A 17,534-nucleotide genomic window follows, 5' to 3' on the forward strand; every position below is an offset into this window, starting at 1 on the left:
CTTCCAAGCTCCTATTAATGTTGATATTTTGACCTCCTCCCATGATTCAAAAATGTTCTGAATGCATCTAGAACAGTGAATCCTTTCCAGAAGATTGACTTTGCCCAAATCCATTAGAGAAATCATTATGGCAGCTGTAGCCTTACAAAATGCATTTTTTTTTCTTTTTCTTTTTCTTTTTCTTTTTTTTTTTTTTCTTTTTTTTGAGACATAGTCTGTCAGCCAGGCTGGAATGCAGTGACACAATCATAGTTCACTGCAGCCTCAACCTCCTGGCTCAAGCAGTCCTCCCACCTCAGCCTCCCAAGTAGCTGAGACTACAGGCATGAGCCATAGCATGCCTGGCTAATTTTTTTAAAAAAATTTTTGTAGAGACAGGGTCTCACCATGTTGCCCAGACTGGTCTCAAACTCCTGGGCTCAAACAATCCACCTGCCACAGCCTCCCAAAGTGCTGGGACTGCAGGCATGAGCCACCACACCCAGCCTAAAATTTATTTCTTAATAAGACCTGAAAGTTGAAATTATTCCTTGTTTCATGGCCTGCACAACGGATGTTATGTTAGCAGGCATGAAAACAATATTAATCTTGTATATCTCCATCAGAGCTCTTGGGTGACTAGGTGCATTGTCAGTGGGTAGTAATATTTTGAAAGGAATCTTTTTTTTTTTTTATGAGCAGTAGGTCTCAATAGTGGGCTTAAAACCTTCAGTAAACCATGCTGTGAACAGATGTGGTGTCATCCAGGCTTTGTTGTTTCATTTATAGAGCACAGGCAGAGTAGATTTAGCATCCTTTTTAAGGACCCTAGCATTTTGCGAATGGTAAATGAACATCAGCTTCAACTTAAACTCAGCAACTGCATTAGTCCCTAACAAGAGAGTCAGTCTGTTCTTTGAAGCTTTGAAGCCAGGCATTGACTTCTTTATCTATGAAAGTCCTAGATGGCATCTTCTTCCAATAAAAGTCTATTTTGTCTACATTGAAAATCTGGTGTTTAGTGTAGCCACCTTCATCAATGATCTTAGGTAGATCTACTGGATAACTTGCTACAGCTTCTCCGTCAGCACTTGCTGTTTTGTTTTGCACTTTGACATTCTGTAGATGGTTTCTTTCCTTAAACCGCATGAACCAACCTCTGCTAGCTTCCAACTTTTCTTCTGCAGATTCCTCACTCTCCTGGCCTTCATAGAAATGAAGTTTATTAACTGGCCTAATTTCAGTATCATTGTGTCTTTGGAAACAAGCAGGCCCAAGGAGAGGGAGAGAGATGGGAGAATGTCCAGTTCGTGAAGCAGTCAGAGCACACACAACATTTATTGATTAAGTACATCATCTTACACGAGCATGGTTTGTGGTGGCCCAAAACAATTATAATAGTAACATCAAAGATCACTGATCACCGATTAAAGTAACAGATATAATAATAAAAAAAAACTTTGAATTATTGTGAGAATCATCAAAATGTGACACAGACATAATGTGAGCGCACACTGTTGGAAAAATGGTGCCTATAGACTTACTCGACGTGGGGTTGCCAGAACCTTCAATTTGTAAAAAACACTTTGGGAGGCCAAGGAGTGCAGATCACCGGAGGTCAGGAGTTCGAGACCAGCCTGGCCAACATGATGAAACCCTGTCTCTACTAAAAATACAAAAATAAACCAGGTGTGTTGGTGGGTGCCTATAATCCCGCTACTCGGGAGGCTGAGGCAGGGAGAATTGCTTGAACCCAGGAAGTGGAGGTTGCAGTGAACCAAGATTGCACCACTGCACTCCAGCCTGGGTAACAGAGCGAGACTCCGTCTCAAAAAAACAAAAAACAAAAACAAACAGACAAACAAAAAAACACACTAGTACTGAGAAGCACAATAAAGCAAAGTGTAATAAAACAAGGTATACCTGTATCACTGTAGAATGAAGAAGCAATTTAATTTTATGTACTGACTATATTAAAAAGATCTCTAAGATACATTGTTAAAGGTGGGGGGGAAAGCAAGGTGCATGTGTTATGTTTTACAAGTGTGTAAAGAGGGGAGGTATAAGAATCCATATTTAAATTTTCTTGTATTTGTGGAGACTCTGACAATATATAAGAAACTAAGCTTTTGTTAATGGCAAGGGAGAACTAGACAGAGGACAAGGAAAGAGGACAAGTTATTCACTCTAACTTTTTATACTGGTCAGTTTTTAATGAATGCTTTCTCTATTCAAAAAAATAAAATATAGACCAGGTGCAGTGGCTCATGCCTATAATCTCAGTGCTTTGGGATTCTGAGATGGGAGAATTGCTTTAGCTCAGGAGTTCAAGGTTACAGTCATCATGCCACCGCACTTCAGCCTGGGTGACAGAACAAGACGCTGTCTCTAATAAAAAAATTAATAAACTGGCTGTGTTTGGTGGCTCATGCCTGTAATCCCAGATCTTTGGGAGGCCAAGGCAGGGGGACTGCTTGAAGCCAGAGTTCAAGATCACCCTGGACTATAAAGCAAGACCCTATCTCTACAAAAATAGTAAAATTAGCTGAGTGTGGTGGCATATGCTTGTATTCCCAGCTACTCTGAAGGTTGGGGCAAGAGGATTGCTTGAGCCTAGAAGATCAAGGCAGTGAGCCATGATCACACCATTGCACTCTACCTTGGGTGACACAGCAAGACCTTGCCTAAAATTAATTAATATAGTATAATGTAATAATTGATTCACAAATAAAAATGCCATTGATACAGACCTTAGAAACTGGAACCTTGCAGAAATAGGAAGTATCTAGGGTGGGGTAAGTGACAGACTTCTCTGACAGACCCCTGCTTTACGCACTGAGTGCTCACAGAGTCGGGGTAAGGGGTTGGGGAGCAGCCAAAGGTCCTCACAGTTTGCCTCGCTTGGTGGTGGAGTCACTGCCTCACAAGCCAGGGCAAGGGCTATCAGTACTTCAGTATACTCAGTGGTACTGTGCCCAAGGTAGAGCTTTGTCCACAAACTGGGGGCTGGGCAGAATAAGAGAGCTCTCACATCCATACTGCTCTTGCCCAGAACTTAGCCTTAGTAGTAGGTAGCTGAGTGCAGGATGATATAATCTGAAGTCTGGTTTCTCCTGAGAAGAAAACCTTTCAACTGGGAGCTGGCAGAGAAGGAATCCCGAGTTCTTCTTCACTGCAGCCATCTGGAATGGAATGTACCCCTTGCTGAGCTAGTAGTGGGGAAGGAGGAAATGCTCTTGGTTTAAATACCACAGATTTTGCCTTTCTCAATGAATTTTTTGAGATTTTATTGAGTAGATGTTTTTTCATTTATTATTTGCCCTTGGCACGATTTCTGGACCCTTTCAATGGTGGTTTTATAATTTTTACCAGCTTCACTGGGTTAGGGGGCCAGCAGAGCCGATGCCGCCGTGCCAGATATCAATATTTGGAATGGCTTTAAGTACATTGGAATTACTTTCTTTTTAAGAGACTGTAGAATTCTCCAATGCAACTATCTGAGCCTGCTACTTTTTGGCAAAGGGGTACAGCTCCTGAAATTTTTATCTGTGGAAATTTGTCTATTTACATTTTTTCTCTTTTCTGGGGTCAATATTGATAAGTAATAACTTCCTAGAAAATTACCTATTTGATCCAGATTTTAAACTTATTTGCATATAATTGAGCAAAGTCATTTTAAGATTATCTTAATTTTTTCTCTGTGTGCTTATTTCTTTAGAAGCTCCTTTTTATATGTGCTTTAAGAATTACTTAATTGTGGTCGGGTCTGGTGGCTCACACCTGTAATCCCTTTGGGAGGCCAAGGCTGGTGGGTCCCTTGAGGTCAGGAGTTCAAAACCAGCCTGGCCAACATGGTGAAACCCTGTCTCTGCTAAAAATACAAAAAAATTAGCCGGGCATGATGACAGGCCCCTGTAATCCCACCTACTCGGGAGGCTGAGGCAGGAGAATCACTTAAACCCAGGAGGTGGAGGTTGCAGTGAGCTGAGATTGCACCACTGTACTCCAGCCTGGAGACAGAGTGAGACTCCATCTCAAAATAATAATAATAATAAAATAATAATAACTGTAATTCACTAATGAAATAAATACTAGAAATTATTCCCCCCACAAACCTCAGTGCTTAAGATTTATTATAATCAGAATCTTAAAATTTCCATAATAATTACTGAATTTTTACTGTTCATTATGAACTTTACAGTTGTGATTTATTTAATCTTAACAACAGCCTTATGAGGTATATACTAATAGAATCATTATTTTATGGATGAGGAGACTGAGTCACAGAGATTATGTAGCCTGTCTAATTATATACTTAGATGTCATAATTTTAACAACTTTGTTGGCTACAAGAAATTTAAAATTATGTAAGGCTATTAAATAAATAGATCTGTTTGCTTCCTAATGTCTTAACCTAAATCACCATCTCAAAAAGTAATATAATTCTTAGTTGTCTATAACAACATATTTTAACTCATGAATTATTTCAGTGAAGATAGTAGTGGGGAAAGAGTGTTACCAAAAATTTCCTTCCTTAGCTACCAATTTAAATTTATAGTTGGCATAGGAAATTTTATTTTAACCCTTTTCTCATTTACCCCGAGAATACTTGCTGGTGGTGCTTGCAGCTGTAGCATTTACCCCAAGATAACTTTGCCAGGAAATATCTTGCTTTGATTATTATTTTTGCATTGCTCTAGTATATTGACTTTGGAAACAAAAGACATTATTCTATTTATAGCATTCTGTTTTTAGTAGTGGTATTTCCGTTTACAAAATATAGTAATTCTCAATTGCTGAAAATGTCAAATCCTAGAAGCTAGCATTCCTATGTGTGATGTTAACATAGTTCTCAAAAACAGTTTTTATATTTTATTTTCACATTGAAAATCACTCAGATTTGTTTCAGCCTCAAAGAGCATGTTTATATAAAATTAAATGAATGCAGGCAGCAAGCTACACTTTTTTTTTTTCTAAATGGGAAAAGGGTTAAAAGAATGTTTACATTTGGAAAGTCAATGTAACAATTATGGCATTATAAAGAAAAATTTAGAAAATGTAAAAAAAAAAAAAACCATAAATCACCACCCTAGCACTTTAGTTTTATTTTTGCCTATCACCTTCAAGTTCTTGTCCACACACATTTTTTTGTGTAGGTAGAATAATAATGTATCTTTTTTTGTATCCTGTATTTGACAAAGTGAGCTATTAAAAATTATTTTAAAAGAAGGCAGTTAAAAAATTCAAACAAAAAATGTTCTTTGTCTTTATAATTTTCAACAGCTTTTATGTAAGTTTAAGGAGTTGTGTGAATATTTTGGCGAAGTTGGGGATACATAAAAGCACATTACCTTTTGTTTCTGACCTCTTATGCTAGTCCTTTCATCCTAAGTATTTGTATGGAAAGGATTATTTGCCTGTAAAGTCAAGTCCAGTGGATAATTTGGTTTGAAAGCTCTTGTATAACACAATCATAGACAAAAGATTTGTTTTTCTTTATGAAGTTTGTTAATGCAATGTTTTAGTTGCATTTCTGAAATGAGAAATAAACTAAGAAAGATAGGAATTTGAGGAATAAAAGTTTAGAGTTTCATCAGTATTAAAAAAAACTTCTCTTTAGACAAGACTGAGTAAATGTGTGTGACTACTGCCCTCTTGGGTTGGTATAAGGGACATGTATTTAAAAATAATTTGTGCTGAGATTTATCTTTCTTCTTTCAAAGGTGTTAAAATCATCACACAACAGGTTCAACCAAGTAAAATCTTACCCAAACCAGTGACAGCAACTCTACCCACCAGTAGCAATTCCCCTATTATGGTGGTTAGCAGTAATGGTGCAATTATGACAACTAAACTGGTAACCACTCCTACTGGTAAGTTCTCTTGAGCATCAGTTCATTTATTCATCATACATTCATCAAACAGTTTCTCTGTACCAGCAATATGCTTGACACTTGGGATATAGAGATTAATGGGACAGTTTTTCAAAGAGGCCTTTCTTGATTCTCACACCCCTACTGACTGCCCTGACGTTAACTTTCTTTTGTTATTCTTTCTAATGATCCTTTGTTCTTTTCCTTTATAGCACTTCCCATAATTTCTTAGGTATCTAGTTGTATATTGATTTGTTTGATATTGTTCCTTTTATTGGACCATAAGCTCTGTGAGCGTAAGGGACCATATCCTTTTTATTTACCACATATATAGAGCTAGTCTGTAAGTAGGTGCTCAGTCAGGATTTGCTGAATGAATTAAAACAGTCCCAACCCACAAGGATTTCACTCTGATGAAGTTGAGAAGAGTATATGTTACATTACAGTTTAGTAAGCGTTACTGAGACTGAGGGAAGCACAGAATGGTATTGTGCCCTGATAGGCAAGCAACCAGCATATGCTGGAGGAAGTGACAGTGTTGAACATTTTGGATAGTAACACTATCTAAAATGTGACCTTGAGCAGATTACTTAATCTCTCTAAATGTTTTTCTTTGTTTATTTGTTTTTGTTTTTTTCCTTGTTTATTTAAATGGGATAATAATACCTATGCCATAACGTTATTATAAGTACTAAATGAAATCAGGTATGTAGAAAGTCCCCGGCATAGTGCTCAATAGTTGTCACTATTAATATTATAATTAGCCATTACCGTTATTTTAAATGTATGACTCTTTAACCAAACTTTTTGAGGATGGCTAGTATTTAGATGACAGAATTTAAATAGTGTAAAATGATACCTGTCTCAAGCTTATAAGCTGTCATTTATTGGCCAGTGTGTAAAGGTCATTACAGACATTGCACTTCATATCCTTTAGGCTTTATTATCTCCATTTTCAGCAACTTCCCCAAGGTCATGTAGCCAAAAAGAGGCAGAACTGGGGATTGAACCAGTTTGACTCCAAAACCTGTGCTTTCTTTTGTTTTTTAAATTGCAGTAAAATATATATAACATGAAATTTACCATTTTCAAATATATAGTTCATTGGCCTTAAGTACATTCACATTGTTGTATAACCATCAACACCATCTATCTCCAAAACGTTTTCATCTTCCGAAACTGAAACTCTGTGTTCATTCAACAATAATGCTTCATTTCCCCACTTTCTGAAGTCCCTGGCATCACCATTCTACCTTCTGTCTCTATGCAAAGCCTGTGCTTTTAAACACTATTATTCTTTAGTATTTTTATCATACTTCCCCTAAACTTTTCTAAATAGATAACAGTGTTATGCATATATGATTCTTCATGTTATGGAAAAGTAGTGAAGAATAATATTTTGTCTATTTATGTGTCTGTGTTATAATAAGTGTTTCTTTTTTTAACAAAAACTTAATTTGAAATTTTTCCAGATGTAATTTGCCAAATTCAAACTATGTATCCATATAGCATATTTACTTTGCACTAGTTTTGTGGGTTTTTTTTTTTTTTCATTCAGATGTATGCTTATAACCAATATAAACTAATTCTACTTATTGTTCCTCCCGTTCTCCCTTTTTGGGTAATGGTTGTATTTTTCAAAGGTGAATAACTTGGTAAAAGCATTTTTTTGGGGGGGGGGAGGAGGCGAGTATTGAAAATGGCTATCAAAGTGGTCCGTGAATTTGATTATCATGAAAGATTTCTTCAAGTGAAGATGATGTTATCTTAGTCATTTTTTTTTCATTCTCCCTAAGGCTATTGATGCTTAATTTAGGAATAGCCTTTCTGAGTTACTGGATTTGTAAGAAACTACAACAGACTCATGTAGTTAGCTTTTAATTCCTGTTTGGAGAAAAGAAAAAAGTGTTAGAAATAGTGGGGAAGGGTATAAAATCTTTTGAGACACATGAAGAAAAATAGTCTAACAGGTCTAAAGTTGAGGAAATAGGTAAATAGAGAAAATTTTAGGCTAAAGAGAAATATTCCTGGCAACTCTAGGCAGCTTTAACTTTAATCTTTACTAAAATGATAGAATAACCAACCCTTTAAAGGTGGACGTATATTTAGAGGGTAGCAGAGTACAAAGCAATGAAAGTTTGTAAAACTTTAGGCAAACAATACTGCCTTATTTGCTCAATGCCAACATTGGGTTTGGCACTAAGACAGCATAAAACAGATGCAGAGACCTTAAAATCTATGACAGAAATATCTAAAATACTCTGGCAGGAAAGATGATTAAATTTGTTTCTTTTGGCATAAAACTAGTAGAAGAAGGGTAGTGGAAGAAGGGAACAGAGTTAACTCTACTTTTTCTTGGGTTAGTAATTTGATGCAACACATCACAAAATTTTATGTGTAAAATTAATTTAAATTGACTTGGCTGTAGTACTTGCTATATGTGTTGAAAACTGGCTGTAAAATTATAAATTAATGTCTTGACACCTTGAAATTCCATTTTCAAGTTATAGCAATGTAGATTATATGGAATTACAGTTAAACTGTATTAATTATCATTCTTCTGTAAGCAATGACAAGTTTTTCTTTTGGCTTTTCCCTTTCTGTAGGCACACAAGCAACCTATACCCGGCCAACAGTGAGCCCATCCATTGGTCGGATGGCTGCAACCCCTGGAGCTGCAACCTATGTGAAAACTACGAGTGGTAGCATCATTACAGTAGTACCCAAATCATTAGCTACCTTGGGGGGCAAGATAATTAGCAGTAATATAGTTTCTGGTAGGTATATCTGAAATATGTTAAAGGTATAGGTGGCCTTCATTGAGAGGAAAAAAAAAACTTACTTCATTGAAGGATTATATTTGATCTCAATTTTTTGCTTAGAAATCTAAAGCTTTGTTTTAGTCCTTATGTTTCATGATTAAATAAAGTTTTTAGTTTTAATATTCAATATTCACATATAAAGCTTTTGATAGTTTTAAAATGGAAAGAACCTTTAGTTGCTTTTAGTCAGAGTGGAAAGATTATAGTTTAAATTTGCATAGAGATTTTTCATTTGCAAAGTATCCTTCTATTTGTCAACCTATTCAGACCCCATAACAACTCTGAGGTGGTTGCTATTGTGCTGAATTTACAAATGAAGATAGATTTGGCTTTAGAGAGATCAAATTGACCTGTCCAAGACCAATTAGAGTTAGAAAGTGGAAGAACTCTTATTTGTTCTGAATATGTTTTAGGGAACATATCTCATAATTTCAATTACTGATGTCACTTTAGTTTATTAAAAATAAAAATATTTGAATACTTTATTTGCCTTTTGCCATTTATATTAACTTTGCTTTTCAGAAATATTTTACTTTAATAGTGAAAGCCAACCATCTGCCTATTTATTGGTATATTGAAACCATACCTGGTTTTTATTGGCTCATTAATCTCTGCAGTTCTTGGGTTGTGGACCCTAATGTGGAATGTTAAAATGGCATCTGTTTTCATCGATTATTATTTTTAATTAAAATGATGTAAATAATCCCAGATTAAGCAAGACTGTAGACTTTAATTATCTACCATTTTTGTAGACAAGTCATATTTTGTATGCCCCAGGTGAGTTGTTCTAACATTTTAAAGTCAAGGGATTGAAGTTCCTGGCAGTAATTTGATGTTGCTGATAACTCAGGGAGTGAAAAAAAAAGCAAAGCAGAGCATGATATTGGCATAAAGTGTTATATTTAAAGATGTTAATTTTGGCTCTACTTTTAAGTGTAAGTGAGAAAATCCGATGTTTGCCAGACTGAGGAGGGTGAAACCAGTAGGGAAAGAATCATTGTACTCCAGCTTTTAAGAGGATACTTTAAATAACACAGTTAAAACTTAAATTGTAATTTATTACTTGACAATATCTTTACATAGTATAAAGCACTTACTCAGTTAAACATTTGTCAAAAAGGGATCTTATATTTCATTGGTAGGTAGTTTTTTATGACCTTAAGGATTTTTCTTTACTTATACATGAATTTATAGTTTCATATAGCTTGAAGGAATGTTTGGATGTCATGAGTCCTCTATTTTCAGACCTAATGCATAATGTAGCTGCTTTGTACCTGGTTAGAGCAATACAAGCAAGCACATTTTCCTAAAAGCAGAGATGTCATTTGAAATTTATATATCTTATACATGTATAATGTGTTATCCATCTTTGTATTGAATTATAAAACCATTCATGTTAGTTGCTACTTCAAGTGCATGAGTGTACATGAGTAGAGACTTTTCCAGCACTATAGGATATACTTGGCATACAGTTTAAACATACAGTTTAAACAACTTTATTCATTGTGTGGTGCTCATTATGTCTCTATCTCTGCTTCATTGACACTTTTATTCCAAAGAACTTCTTCTGGTTGCTCTAAACTGATCCTTATGTTACATCTCACTATTCTTTATAAAGACAATTTTCTTATTTTATAATATTGTTGATCCATGATACTGGGATTATAGGTTAGTTTTAAAATCTTTCATTGCCTATTTATAGTAAACTGATAAGGCTGGTTGAATGAATTTACACAGTTTTCTGTCTTCATCCATGAGCAGATGCTTTTTCTAGGGTCCCATCTTCCCCAAACAAAAAAGAAGTACTTTCTTTTTTTTTTTTTTTTTTTTAAGACAGAGTATCACTCTGTTGCCCAGGCCAGGGTGCAGTGGCATGATTGGCTTGTTACAGCGTCAGCCTCCTGGGCTCAAGCAATCCTGACACCTCAGCCTTCCAGGTAGCTAAGACTACAGGCCCACACCACCATGCTTGGCTAATTTTTGTAATTTTTCTAGAGACAGGGTTTTGCCATGTTACCCAGGCTGGTCTCAAACTCCTGAGTTGAAGCGATCTGCCCACCTTGGCCACCCAAAGTGCTGGGATTACAGGCATGAGCCACCATGCCTGGCTCTTTTCTTAAAATACACTCAAACATCTAGCTATAAGACTAGAAGGCTTTAAAAAAGATACTTTCCCTCTCATTGTGGGAGAATTTGGAAACTACAGCCAGGTTCAAAGAAAATTAAAAACCTTTGATTTTTACTATCCATAGGACTGTGTTAAAATTTAGGTATATTTCTTTTTATTCATTTTTCTATTCGTTTGTATAAAGTGTGTGTGTGCGCGCATATATATATATATATATATTTTTTTTTTAATTGGGATCTAATATAGTCAGATTTTATCCGTATTTCCTATAGTAATGTTATTTTCCCATGCTAGTAAATGTAGTTTGACATGCCCCCCTCATATTTAACCATTTTCTTATTGTAGCAAGTTTTAGGTTACTTATAGGCTGTCTTGTGTGTGTGTGTGTGTGTGTGTGTCATTATAAATAATTCTATGACGAACATTATTATACATAAATTATTTTGTGGAATTCTTACTTCCTCTGTATAAATATCCTAGAATGCAAGTTAATGCTTCCAAAGTACTTTCTAGAAAGTTCTTTTTATTAGAACAAGTAATTAAATGGAAGCCATGACTATCTTTGTAGTTGATTCATATCTTTTTTTTTTTTTTTTTGAGACAGACTCCTGCTGTGTCACCTAGGCTGGAATGCAGTGGTGTGATCTCTGCTCACTGCTACCCCCGCCTCCCAGGTTCAAGCAATTCTCCTGCCTCAGCCTCCTGAGTAGCTGGGATTACAGGCGCCTGCCACCACGCTCGGCTAATTTTTGTATTTTTAGTAGAGACAGGGTTTCACCATGTTGGCCAGGATGATGTCAAACTCCTGACCTCAGGTGATCCACCTGCCTTGGGCTCCCAAAGTGCTGGTATTATAGGCGTCAGTTACTGCACCTGGCCAATTCATATTTTATAGCGTCAAATATTTATTTACATGTGTATACATTAGATTATCAGATTTGTAAGTTTTTTTGTGAGCTTTGTTGAGGGTTAGATGAATAATTACATTGGATTCTTCAGAGTTGAACTCACTACCTTGATTCTAAGGACGTTATGAGAACCTGTGACAACAGCAAAACTTTAATTCTCCTAATCTTTAGTACAGTGTCCAGGAAAGGAGCTATTGTTTTTGCACTTTTTCATTCGTTCATTCTTTGAGCAAAGCAACATAAAACATTACCTAAGAGACCAAGATTGTCAGGTGATTTTAGAATCTGTAAATAGAATAGTAAAATCTGAGCCAATAAATTTGTGTTCTTCTTTAAGCCTACCTATTATAATGCCCAAACTTTTACAGGGATCTTTTTAAAAAATAAGAATGCCTGGAATGCATCAATATCATAGTTCATTATTATCTAAATGGGATATACAGTTATTTGCACCCATTATATCTCGATTGTTTTATAAGTGAAGATTATATAGGTGGGTCCTTCTGATATGCTACGAGCCAGATACTCTGCTGTGTGTTGTGATACAGAGGAATATATACATGAGTTTTATTATCTGCCCTAAGGAATGCTAAACAAGTGAACTTGTATAATTTTGCTGTAACATGGGAACAGAAGTCCACTGTGAAAGCATAGAGGGTGACTTTTTTTTAATGAGTAATACTTCTTCAATGTAATGTATTTATCCCCTGATACAGAAACATGTTCACTAGAATTTCAGAAATTTATAATTGATCATTCTATCAATTATAAATTATATTCTATTTTAATATAATGTTAGACTTGCTTTTCCTTATGCTATTCCTTTTTCTTCTATTTTCTGACATTTGCCCCCCCACCACATTTTGTTAAACTTGTGGACTTGGTTTGCAACTATCATATAAATTGAAAAACCTCTGTAATGGAAGGGATTAGACATTTTAGTAGGTAAAAATATAATTCATTTGTTAAGCAAGTTTTGTCAAAAAGTGGTCCTTGTACTTTGGTATAAAGTCAAAAGCATAGTAAATCATGTCAAAAGAGGTCTGTATGAAACCATGTCAAAAAAGGTCTATAGAGTTAATCACATGTGAGGGATTAAAGTTAATTAAGAGTTAAAGTTAGTATAAGTGAATCATGGGCAGCTTGGTTTTTGAAGTTCTTAACAGCTGACTGTTCAGAGACTACAAATAAATGGAAAAACAGTTGTGAAGCTAGTTCATAGATTAAAATGCTCTTTTATGTAACCTCAGAGCATGTTACCTTGGACTAATGAGACATATAATGGCAAATATATTGTAAAGACATTTTTTGTAGCAGTGTTGCCAAAATTAACATATAACTAGAATATTCTTATTCTTAGTGTAACTTTGTATACACTAAGTTTACACAAACTTAGTGTAAGTTTGTATAAAACTTAAGTAAGGAATATTAAGGTTTTCCAGTGGAAAATAATAAAATTGTGTTTAATTATTTTTTGAAGACATATTGCTCATGTTTTTACTAAGTAATAATTCTGTGCTTAGTCATTTGATAAATGATATGTAGGCCTATAGAAGAAGAACTTGACATGCCTCTTTTCATAAGCAGAGGAAATTACAGGAGCAAAAGTAGCATTGGAATTTGTATGCTCAAAGACCAATGTGGAAACCAGCACATTAAAGGAGAGGCGTATGTTAGTTAATTCTAAAAATTAAGGTCTGACAAAGCCTGGAAAGCTAGGCAGAGGAGTTTGGGCTTTGTGTGGTAGGTAACGGGAAGCCATAATGAAGAAGTTACTTCTTAGATCAAAGTTTATGGTGTGTACTCTGGAGTACATGCTAATTAGATCAAAATGGTAGATTAAGGGACAGATTATATATTAATAGGATTTTGAAACATGAGGGAAAGTTAGAACTGGGAATGAAATGGGAAATTAGGGAATTTAACCAGTTGACATGTTTCAGGTTCTTGGCATGATAAGTTTAGTTTTTTAAGGATGTAATTGTCATCCACTGTGCTAAGCACTGAGGAATCATAAAAAGGTACAGTGTGGAGATTAAGGGGCTTTCATCTTGTTGAGAGGTATAGGGAGTTAAGACGAGGAAACAGGCCAAGCCTGGTGGCTCATGCCTGTAATTCCAACAATTTGGGAGGCTGAAGCAGGAGGATCCCTTGAGGCCAGGAGTTCAAGACCAACCTGGGTAATGTAGTAAGACCCCATCTCTACCAAAAAATACAGAAATTAGCCAGGCATGGTGGCACATACCTGTAGTCCTAGGTACCTAAGAGGCTGAGATGGGAGGATTGTGTGAGCCCAGGAGTTGAAGCCTGCAGTAGATATGATCATGCCTCTGCACTCCAGCCTGGTAACAGAGTGAGACCCTGTTTCTCTTAAAAAAAAAAAAAAAAAAGTCCAGGCACAGTGGCTTACACCTGTAGTCCCAACACTTCGTGAAGCTGAGGCAGGAGGATCACTTGAACCTAGGAGTTTGAGACCAGCCAGCAGCCAGGGCAACATAGTGAGACCTTATCTCTATAAAAAATCAAAAAGTAAGGTGGGAGGACCACTTGAGCTCAGAAGGTCAAGGCTGCAATGAGCTGTGGTTGCTCCACTCCACTCCCGTCTGGGTGACACAGCAAGACCTTGCCTTAAAAAAAATAAATAAATAAAAATAAAATTTTTTGAAAAAGAGAAGAAGACAAGGAACAAATCAAAGATTTGCGCCAGAATTTACAACTGAAGGTTGGAAGGTAGATTTGATAGGTAGAAGAGAAGCCAATTATGGAAGGATGTGTGGGAGAGGGCAAAGTAATACTGTGTTTGGATCAGTAGGTATAGACCTATTAGATAGATCTTAATAATTGACAATATAAGTTTATATATGCAAATTAGAGTTTTATCCTCACATTCTCCAGAGTGCTACAGATTACAAAAGCATACATTGAATCTGTGACTTGTTTTGTATATCGTTTACTTTGCTTTTTTTTTTTTTTTTTTTTTTTTTTTTTTCTTGAGATCGAGTCTTGCTCTGTAGCCCAGGATGGAGTGCAGTGGCGCAATCTCAGCTCACTGCAACCTCCACCTCCCGGGTTCAAGCAATTCTTTTGCCTCAGCCTCCCAAGTAGCTGGGATTACAGGCGCCCGCCGCCACCCCCAGCTAATTTTTTTGTATTTTTAGTAGAGATAGACTTTCACCAGGCTGATCTTGAACTCCTGACCTCTGGTGATCTGCCTGCGTCAGCCTCTCAAAATACTGGGATTATGAGCGTGAGCCACCACGCCTGGCCTACTTTGTCTTTTTTAATCACAGAAAAATACATGGCTTATTTCTTTTCATAAATTTTTTCTAGAGCCTAGTGTTATGTAAATTTAAGCATTTACTTCATGTTCTTTTTTGAAGGATTTTCCCATCACTTCAGTCACATATAATACTGGGTTTGGGGGAAATACATGTCATGGAATAGAGATTGTGATTTGTTTCTTTTAACTAGTCAGACAAAGAATATTGATGGTAAAACTGTTGTTCTTAGATTCTGAGTTTTGTGTATAGGTTCTCAGATTCTAAAAAGATGACTGCTTTAACTGTGAATTCTTAATATTCTCTCATTCTGGTATGACTTATAACTTACTATTCCAAGCCTTCATTTTCATCATCTTGACAGCTTTCATGTCATCTAGGAATGACATTTACTATATGTACTAATTGTGTATAATATAAACAAAAATAACCAAGTATCTCTAGTCCTTAACTCAGGCCTCCTTTTCTTCCCCCTTTTCTAAGGAACGACTACCAAAATCACTACAATCCCAATGACTTCCAAGCCCAACGTGATTGTTGTACAAAAGACTACAGGAAAAGGAACGACCATTCAAGGCCTCCCGGGCAAAAATGTTGTCACAACGTTGCTAAATGCTGGAGTAAGTGAGAGCTTCAACTGCAGACTTAGCAATTCACAGAGGATTTAAAGACCAGCTATATAAATATTTGCACAAGGACTTGAGAAGCCCACAATAGCCAGAATGGCTTGGTTTACCACTGCTGGGATATAACAACTGTTAAAGCACCACCAACTGATGCCATTTTTCACAGTAATTTCTAAAGCATGTTGCTCATACTTGCTCATAGCTAGGTTGCTTGTGACCATGATTTAGATGCTTAGCTTTGTCCAGATAGAGAATTCCATTGGCTTAACTGTAGGGGGACTTCAGTTGGAGCACTGTTTTATTCCTGCTTATGGTCAATAGATACTGACTTAGTATTTGGCTTAGGGTGGGCAAAGAGAAATATGTGGGATTAAGACTAAATTAATTGATGGGGATTTGTTACTTTCTTTTTTTTTTTTTTTTTTTTTCATTTTTACCTCTTTGAGCTGTTAAAAAATAAAATCAGACTGGGTGTGGTGGCACATGTCTGTAATCCCAGCTGGTTGGGAGGCTGAGGTGGGAGAATCGCTTTAGCCCAGGAGTTCAAGACCAGCCTTGGCAACAAAGCAAGACCCCCACCTCTACCAAAATTTATTTTAAAACTTAACCAGATGTAGTAGCATGCACCTGTAGTCCCAGTTACTTGGGAGGCTAAGGTGGGAGGATCACATGAGCCCGGGAGTTTGAGGCTGCTATGAGCCATGATCATGCCACTGCACTCCAGACTGGGCAACAGAGTGAGACCTTGCCTCAAACAAAAAATAAATAAATAAATAACAGATTCATTTATAGTTCTGAAGGCAGTTGGTAGGAGGGTTGGAGTTAGACAAAACAGGGCTTTGTTTCTCCATATTGTAGTTGTTTGACCTTGGGTGACATACTCAACCTCTCTCATTCTTAATTTCCTCATGTGTACATTGGGATTGATGATCTTTACCAGTGAGGTTGTTTAGTAACTGGTAGCTATTGTGAAAGTGCTTAGAATAGTGCCTGGCCCATAAGAAGTCCTCAATCATTGATTTTCTTCTTGTTATTCTTGGTACTTACCTGTTTAGGCTTGTTAGTGTCCCTACCTTGCCTAACTTCACTAGAACATGGATTGCTATACTTCACTTAAATAGATCTCATAAAAGCTTCATTGGTAGGGGTCCAGCATTAGATTTTTTCAATGTGTGGGAAAACAGATTGCTCCTAGCCTGAATTTACATAGTAAGCCAAAAGTAAAGCCAGGATTAGAATTCAGATTTTCAGAACCCTTTGTAATATGGTTTGCAATTTCAAAGAACTTGATATGTAAGAGGGGATGCTTTGTATTCTAGGCCCTGTGGTCACAAAGATCCAAGAGTCATGTATGATTCATAGCTGTTAGATATCTCTGATAACAACCGTTTGACACAGGCAGCTCTAGTAAAACAAGCAAATCAACGTATAAGACCGTTTTCTGGGCTGGGTGTGGAGGCTTATGCCTGTAATCCCAGCAATTTGGGAAGGCAAGGCAGGTGGATCACTTGAGCCCAAGAGTTTGAGACCAGCCTGAGCAACATGGTGAAACTCCGTATCTACAAAATTACAAAAATTAGCGTGAAGGTGTGCACCTATAGTCCCAGCTACTTGGGAGGCTGAGGTGGAGGATCACTTGAGCCTGGGAGGCAGAGGTTGCAGTGAGCTGAGATCTTGCCACTGTACTCCAGCCTGGGTGACAGAGCAAGACTCTGCCACTGCCACCCCCGCCAAAGACCACATAGGCACAATCACCTCTACTCACCACTTGCTCACCTATGCATGCCCACAACACACATCAGAAGAGCTTTTTTGAAAAACAGGCTGCTAGTTGGTTTTGTTTGGCTTGAATGGGTCATACTTGGCCAGGGTCCATTGAGCTATTTAATAGATAGGTGTGGTCACTTGCAAACTAGTGGC

At 36.7% G+C, this 17,534-nt stretch overlaps 1 protein-coding gene across 50 annotated transcripts in view; it reads left to right on the forward strand.

The window, feature by feature from the left end:
- The window catches only part of EMSY (EMSY transcriptional repressor, BRCA2 interacting), a 108,014-nt gene that overhangs the window by 62,666 nt on the left and 27,814 nt on the right, over window positions 1-17,534 (forward strand). For all 50 annotated transcript variants that reach the window (XM_047427269.1, NM_001300942.2, XM_047427298.1 and 47 more), the window contains 3 exons: window positions 5,703-5,852; window positions 8,459-8,629; window positions 15,472-15,608. In XM_047427269.1, the coding sequence (XP_047283225.1) occupies window positions 5,703-5,852; window positions 8,459-8,629; window positions 15,472-15,608 (458 nt within the window). The remainder of the gene's footprint in view (window positions 1-5,702; window positions 5,853-8,458; window positions 8,630-15,471; window positions 15,609-17,534) is intronic.

Source organism: Homo sapiens, chromosome 11, assembly GCF_000001405.40.
Source record: "Homo sapiens chromosome 11, GRCh38.p14 Primary Assembly".
In the NCBI taxonomy this organism is placed as follows: domain Eukaryota; kingdom Metazoa; phylum Chordata; class Mammalia; order Primates; family Hominidae; genus Homo; species Homo sapiens.